Raw genomic sequence first — 8219 nt, 5'->3', positions numbered from 1 at the left:
TCCAAAAATGTTTTCAACTTGTGTTACAGCATCACAGCAATAAACTTTACATGTACCAGGACTGAATTCTATGCACTTTTCCGTCTTAGTCAATTTGATAGGTGCATCATTGTTCAATGTGCCTTTTTGATTACTAATGTTTACATGACTTTTGATGTGTTTAACTGTTGCTTTGTGAAATATCTGTCAAATCCTGTGCGCATTTTTTCTATTTCCACATGTGTATGTGCATATATATTTATATTTCATGTGTATATATTAATAATTTTTTCTACTTTATTAAATTTTATTGTATTTTAAGTCCTGGGATATATGTGCAGGATGTGTGGGTTTGTTGCATAGGCAAAAGTGTGCCATGGTGGTTTGCTGCACCCATCAACCCATCATCTAGGTTTTAACTCCCGCATGCATTAGGTATTTGTCCTAATGCTTTCCCTCCTCTTTCCCCCAACCCCCTACCTGGTTTTTATTTCTGTAGCTTATAAACAAATCTTGATGTTACTGAAGATGTGTTATCTTGTGTCATTATTTTATTTGCTTTTACAGTATTAAGCATTCCAGGCTGGGCACAGTGGCTTATATCTATAATCTTACTATTTGGGGAGGCTGAGGTGGGAGAATCACTTGAGTCCAGGAATTTGAGACCAGGCTGGGCAACATAACAAGACCCCATCTCTACAAAAAAAATTTAAAAATGTGTTGGGTGTGGTGGCGCATACTTGCAGTCCTTGCTACTCAGGAGACTGAGCTGAGGAGTTCTAGGCTGCCATGAGCTATAATCTCACCACTGCACTCCAGGCTGAGTGACAGAGCCAGACCCCATGTCAAAAAAAAATGCATTAAGCATTCTTTATGCTTTATTTTCCATCGTAAGCTACTTAAATCTTGGCTTTGTTTTTAAAAAATCACAATTTTGTGCTTTAATTCCATGTTATTATTGATAACTTATTTATAACTAAAAATAATATTTAACTTGTTTGGATTATTTTCTTTATTCTGGACCTTTCTGAGAATTTGTTTGGTATAAATGGGCTTAGGCAGAATTGCTGACTTCTAATTGATATGAAAATATAAATTTCCTAGACACCAGCAGATTGCTCTTCAAGATATCAACACCACGAAACCCTGTCTCTACTAAAAATACAAAAATTAGCTGGGCATGGTAGCATGAACCTGTAATCCTCGCTACTTGGGAAGCTGAGGCAGGAGAATCGCTTGAACCCAGAGGGCGGAGGTTGCAGTGAGCTAAGATTGTGCCACTGCACTCCAGCCTGGATGACAGAGTGAGACTTTCTCAAAATAAAAAAAAAAAAAAGAAAGATACCAACATCAGATCATGTTTTCAAATGTAGTTCCAAGCGTTCTTATTCATTCACATCTTTTGCACCATTTAGCATTATTCAGCTCCTGAAATGTTGCTAATTTATTGGATCTAAAGTAATATTTTATTTTGTTTAATTGCCCTTTCTCTGATTACAAATTAAACTGGGCATCTTAAGTAATTCTCTGATTAAGTAATTAATTCTCTGATTAAGTAATTATCTGATTACTAATTAAAATGGGCATCCTAAGATGTGTAGGAATACATTGAATATTTTAGGTTTTATTGGCTTATTTGTCTCTGAGATGCAAATTATCTTCTTTCAATTTGTATTAGTATGTTGTTTGCCCATGATGTCATTCACTAGATAAATATTATTAATTTTTATGTAATTAAATATATTTCATTAATCTTTTGCTGTTGAAGTTATGTGTCCCTTCCACTTTATGAGAAAGAGATTATTTTCTATTACGTTCAAGTAACTCTATAGCATTACGTTATGTATTTAAGTCTTAATCTGAAGTCTAGTTTCTATATATTTTTAAATAGAAATATAATTTTTTTCTTTAGTTGTTGAGCAAGTTTTTCCTACATCGAGTAATAGCATGTTTTGTTCTTTCAATATAAAATTTCTCCTTTATTAGATACTGTTTCATATATTGTAAGTTGACTTTTGAGAGCAATAGTGTCCCAACTGTTTCTCTATATTTGATTATAGAGATGTGTATATTACGATGTATCAGGATGATGTTATAAATATGACTTTATGTTATATAGCAATAGGTATTAGGAAAACTACTCATCTTTGTTCTTTACTTTTCAACATTTACTAAGTTATTTTGGACATTTATTATCTCTTAGTTAATTTATAATAAGGAATAATGTAGTAAGCTGTATTAGGTCTTTAAAATAAATATTTAGAAATTTGTATTGAGTGGAATTTACAAGGTTATATTGTGATCCCATCCTTGAATACAGAATGCCTACTTTTTCCAATATTCTAGTAAGTCTTTTATTACACTTTTAAATTGTATCTATTGAGGCAGATTTTTGCATTCTATGTTATATTAATTTTTATATATTATACACTTGTTTTTGTTATCAAGTACTCTATTATATGTTTCTCAAATCATTATCGCTGGCATAGAAAAAATGTTACATAATTTTATAGACTGGTCTTGATAAACTATCTTCTTGGTTTAATAGAGTATCTGTTAATTTAGTGTTTTTCTCTAAAAGACATTCATCAAAATTTTAAGCAATTGTGGTCATAGTGATCATTCCCATCTTAATTCTAATTGTAAAATAAATGTATCAATCTTTATGTAAACTTTGGTACCTTAAGTACATGCATGCACTGCATAAGAACATTTCTGTCCAGAATGGACCACATGTACGAAGTGGCCCCATAAGAATATAATGGAGCTGCCCTACACAGGTATACACATCATTTTATGTCATTTATACCATATTTTTCTTGTACCTTTTCTATGTTTAGGTATGTGTGTGTATATATATATATATATATATATATATATTTACAGTGGTTTTATAATTATGTACAATATTCAGTATAGGAACATTCTGCACAGGTTTGTAGCCTAGGAATACTAGGCCATACCATATAGCCTAGATGTGTAGTAGGCTATGTCATCTAGGTGTGTGTAAGTACATTCTATGATGCTCACACAATGACTTAATTATCTAACAATGCATTTCTCAAATATATCCCATTGTTAAGCATCACCGGACTTTATTTCCATTCTTTGTCTAGTGTTCTATGACTTATTATAATATATATATATATATAGAATATTACCAAGTTATTTTCATTTTATGCTAAGAAAGCCATATGAAATTCCTCTTTTTGCCTAGTACTATGATAATTTGCACTGATGGACATGGATCCTTAAAATTCAAATTTATGTTTTTGGCTCCTGATATATATCAAATAGTATGATATTATCTCTCAAAAGTGACATTTTAAATGTAGTATTTTGCTTATTGTTTTATGTCTAAATCTATTTTTACCTATTTTGGGTTTTGAGGCACTTTGATGTTTCTAAAGATTATAAAAATCTTCATCATTTTATGACCTGTCTCCTTAAAACTAGTCAGGTTTTTGTGACTGTTTGAGCCAATACAATATACTTTGTAACTTCCAAGACTAGGTTATAAAGATGAAGCAACTTCTGCTTCACTCACTAGAACAGCAATTCCTAAAACTTTTAGCGATCATGTAAAGTAGTCTTCCTAAACTTAGGCCACCACGTGGTGAAAATTTCCAAGCCACAGGAAGAAACTATAAATAGGTGCTTTGTCTTTCCCTTGTGTCTTCCCTTCTGTCTTCCCCTTGTGAGGTTGTTTCTCTCCTAACACATTTTTATGTCCTCATCTCTAAATTCTACTGATACCCTGAGTCATGACATTGAGTATCAGTGGACTTTAGAGAACATAGATAATTATATATAATCTAATATACATATACACATATATAATTCTACTACATATTAATATGTAATATTATATGTTTTATATGTATATATGTACATATCTACATTTACATACCCACATGGTAGCACATTGTTAGAACAATCGTCTTTAGCATGCATATGGGAAACAGGAGGTAATAGGAATACATTTGTTAAAGTTGAATAAAACCAAAATTTAAATTTACTCCAAATCTCCTTCTTTAGAGAATGCAATTTATTGGTTTCATTCTGTGATATAATATATATACATCCTATATATGTAATACCTAATATGTATTTGCACATATTTATATATGTAAGTACTTAAATACATAAATATTACATATATCTACATATACATATTACATATGTAAATATAGAGTATGTAAATATGTATATAAACATATGCAATATAGTTATATATGTAATGTTATGCATAATATTTTGCATATATAAGATGTGTGTGTATATATATATATTTCAGGATGTAACCAATAAATTGCATTCTCTAAAGAAGGAGATTTGGAGTAAAATTAAATTTTGGTTTTATTCAACTTCTAACAAATTTATTCCTATTGCCTCCTGTTTCTCATATACATGCTAAAGATGATTATTCTAACAAAGTGCCACTGTGTAGGTTGATGAGATAATGTGTAAGTTTGGAGAACCATGTTGGACTCACAGTGGAATTCATAGAAAGACATTGATTTCCTAAATCCCCATGTTCTTCAAATGAAACTGAACATATGTGGTGAAATTTTATTGTTGGAGCCAACATTATAGTTGTATCAATGAGCCTGGAATGAAATTTAAGAGTTTTAGAGAAAATTCAAAACTGAAATTTCACTTTGTTATATGTATTCAAAGAAAAGTGTAAAGGTTGAGGCTAAACCTCCCTAATCTTTACCCTCAATGGAGTGACTGTCACTTCTGGATGAAACATATATTCAATAAACACAAACAACAATAAAAATAAGCAAAAACAAGAGAAGTTAAAAGATGAAGCTTACATGGCAATAAACAGCATCAGGAATCCAAAATATGGCTGTTTCCAAACTGAGTACTATTGACTATCTTGCATTATATTTCTAAACTCAGAAACTCATTTGCTCAATGAGGGAGCATTATTATCCATGACATGAAGTTATCAAAGTGTTGCCTAAGATAATGCATTTGAAGAACGTTGCACAGTTCTTGTTGCAATATGCTAAAGATTTTACGGTTTAAAATTGCTGATACAAATGCGCACATTGTATCAGGATACATACAGGATACAGGATAGTAGAATTGCATGAGCAACAGACATTCAGAATCTGACATTTTATATTTTCATTTAGGGCGATATTGATCATTCACAGCACTCACTGGCATCATTGATCCCCCCATTTTTTTTGCAGGTGTGGGGAAACTGTCAACACCCTCGCCTCTGCAGGAGGTATGGCCATGTAACGCATTGGGCCAAATGACTGGGACAGGCAGCAAAACCAGTGTGCACTTTTCCGTGTTCTCTTCATTTGGGTAACCAGTTCCTGCCTGTGGAAATTTACCTTCCAATACTCAAAATAAATGAATATCATTTTCTGAAAGTTAAAACTCCTTTATGACTTCCTTTGTTTTCAAATGTACATTAGGATTTCATTTCACCTGAGTGCTTTATCCTTTAATTGTGATGACCCTTGAAGTCATAATGTATATTCAAATCTTTATTTCAAATATATATTTTACATTACTCATTATTAACTCTTATTGTCAAAATGAAGACTTGGGTTGCTTTTTAAATATTATCAATTGTTCATTTGCTTGTGAGCTCAAGGGTCTCTTTCCACAGCAGATGCCAAAACAGTCAGGTAAGGCATGCAGGGGGATACTTTGGGTTATTTCCATATTCACAAAAGAACTCATAAACGTGATGTGTTCAGCTCTAAGATGAAATAGTCGCTTAGGCTTTGAGGTGGGTGCTCCCATCACCTTTTCCAACTGGCATTTTTTTGGTCAACGCTTAAAATCATGTTTCAGTGTGACTGGCTTCTTATCTTGCATTTTATTTTTCAAGGATATACAGTACAGAGAGCCCTGCTTACGATCTGAATTTGAAAGATACTATAAACTAGAAGTAAACCTTTGTTATATTATCCTACTAAGAATTTGGGATTACTGATTATTGCAATATAAGCTACCAGATAACGGCTGTTACTATTGGCCATCAAAATAAATCTTTCAGATACATGACACCATCACAAAACAAGACAATACTATTAACTCCTCAAAGGCCTTAATGGATGTATGGAGAAGAAGTTGATAATAAATTGGAATATAGGGTGTGAGCCACTTAAAACAGATAATAAAATAAATGTATCCCCAAAGCACTTGAATGCATTTTTAGTAAAATCGTGGGCTGATAAGTATGATGTATCTAGAGCTTTTCTTTAACATAAAAGGGAAGCTATGTAAAGTGTTACTAATCCCCTCATCTATGACCTGACAAATCCACTCATCTTTTCACAGTATGCATTTCACTCATATTCTTATGGTCCTCCAAAAACATACATTTCTCATATTTAACTTTGAATGAATGCACAACTGAATGTTTTCATTTCTTCTATAATACTAAATATGGCTTTTGAAAATTAATTGACACCATTTTTATTTTGGACTTACCAAAAGTTGAAGAGTGGATGAATATAGAACAGAACTTTAACACAAAATACTTTTAAAGATAATATTTTAGGCTTTATGATTTTTTTTAGTGAGTCATTAACTTGAAAACATGTACTATTAGAATTGTCTTCTTCATAACACCAGATTTTTTTACCCAATGGCATATTAAAATTATTCAAAAACTTTTGAAAGGAAATATCGATTTTGATACATGATGCATTTTAGTAGCCTTATTTATTAAATTTACACCAATTTTATCTAATAACCACAATCAATTATTACAACTTATTCCTGAAAACATGAATATCACAAAACAGCCTAGGGTGAGCCTCTCGGGTTTCTTACACATTTTCTGAATAAAAAATTCTCTTCATGATTTTCTTGATGGCCACCTTTATTTGCTTATTTCTAAGACTGTAAATAATAGGGTTAAAGAGGGGAGGCATTATGGAATAAAAACCAGAAAGGATCAGATCCTGGGTGGCTGCAGGTATCGCAGGTGGCCTGAGGTACACAGAAGAGCATGAACTGAGGAAGACTGACACCACCAGGATGTGAGGGATGCAGGTGGAAAAGGCCTTTGTTCTGTCTGCTCCTCTTGGAAACCCGAGCACGGTCGAAAAGATGTGAATGTAAGACCTGATGATAAAGATGAAACAGCCGCCACCTACCCCCAGAGCAGAGACAACAATCATGACCTCATTGCTGAAGGTGTCAGAGCAAGAGAGCTTCAGCAGAGAGGGGATGTCACAGAAGAATTGATGAATAACGTTGGACCGACAGAAGGGCAGCTGGAATGTGCTGCCAGTGTGCATGCCTGCATAGACAAGACCACTGAGTAGGGAGGCCAGTGTCATCTGGATGCAGATTCGAGAGTTCACGATCACAGGGTAGTGAAGTGGCTGGCAGACAGCCACATAGCGGTCATGAGCCATAATGGTGAGAAACAGAAGCTCCACATATACAAAAAAAACCACGAGGAAGACCTGAGCTACACATCCCGCCTTAGAAATGGTGGTGCTGTCCAGTAGGGAATTGACACATGAGGTAGGGACTGTAACAGAAATGTAGCAGGCATCCAAGATAGACAGATTCCTGAGGAAGAAGTACATGGGCATGTGAAGGCTGCTGTCACAGGTGGTGACGGTCACAATGAGGATGTTTCCCATTAGAGTTACCAAATACAACATAAAGAAGGATGCAGAATGTAAAATCTGTAGTGTCCACACATCAGAAAACCTCATGAGGAGAAATTCCATCACGGTGGTTGAATTGGGCATCGGTGGATGATGAAGCTTGGACCTGGGAAACAGAAATCCTGAACACTCACGAAGAATCAAATGATGGAAAGATGGTTCTTAAATATCGTAGTCTTGATCCCTTTCTAGTTGTAATCTACATTGTTGGTCCTTACATTTTTGAAGGCAACTCAAGTGGTCCTCTATGAACCTACATAATATTCTTTATATTCAAATTGGGCAGATGCTTTGTTGTTGTTTCTGTTGTTTAGAAGTTGTTCAAAATTAAATTTTATGCAACTTAGTGTCCTCCATGGGTCAGATAAAGTTATTTACTTATATTTGATATTAAATAAATATTTTAATAAGTTATTTCACTCAAATATACTTATCGCTAATTATTTATCAATACAGATTCTGATACAGAGAACAAAACTGTTCACCCACATCATGAAGATATTGTCTTTATATGCTTAAGAATTGAATGAACAAATGTATGTTCTGGATAGTTTCTTGAGGTTCTTTAGATAG

General features: G+C 33.4%; 1 protein-coding gene across 1 annotated transcript; it reads right to left on the bottom strand.

The window, feature by feature from the left end:
• Window positions 1-6791: 6791 nt before the first annotated feature.
• Window positions 6792-7730, bottom strand: OR14C36 (olfactory receptor family 14 subfamily C member 36). The gene has a single exon (NM_001001918.1). It carries the CDS (start codon window positions 7728-7730, stop codon window positions 6792-6794), a length of 939 nt encoding a protein of 312 aa, NP_001001918.1.
• Between the last annotated feature and the right edge of the window lie 489 nt (window positions 7731-8219).

The sequence above is a fragment of the Homo sapiens genome, chromosome 1 (assembly GCF_000001405.40).
Source record: "Homo sapiens chromosome 1, GRCh38.p14 Primary Assembly".
Classification (NCBI taxonomy): Eukaryota; Metazoa; Chordata; class Mammalia; order Primates; family Hominidae; genus Homo; species Homo sapiens.
The sequence above is the reverse complement of the archived record's forward strand: the minus strand, read 5'-3'. Positions and strand labels throughout refer to the sequence as shown.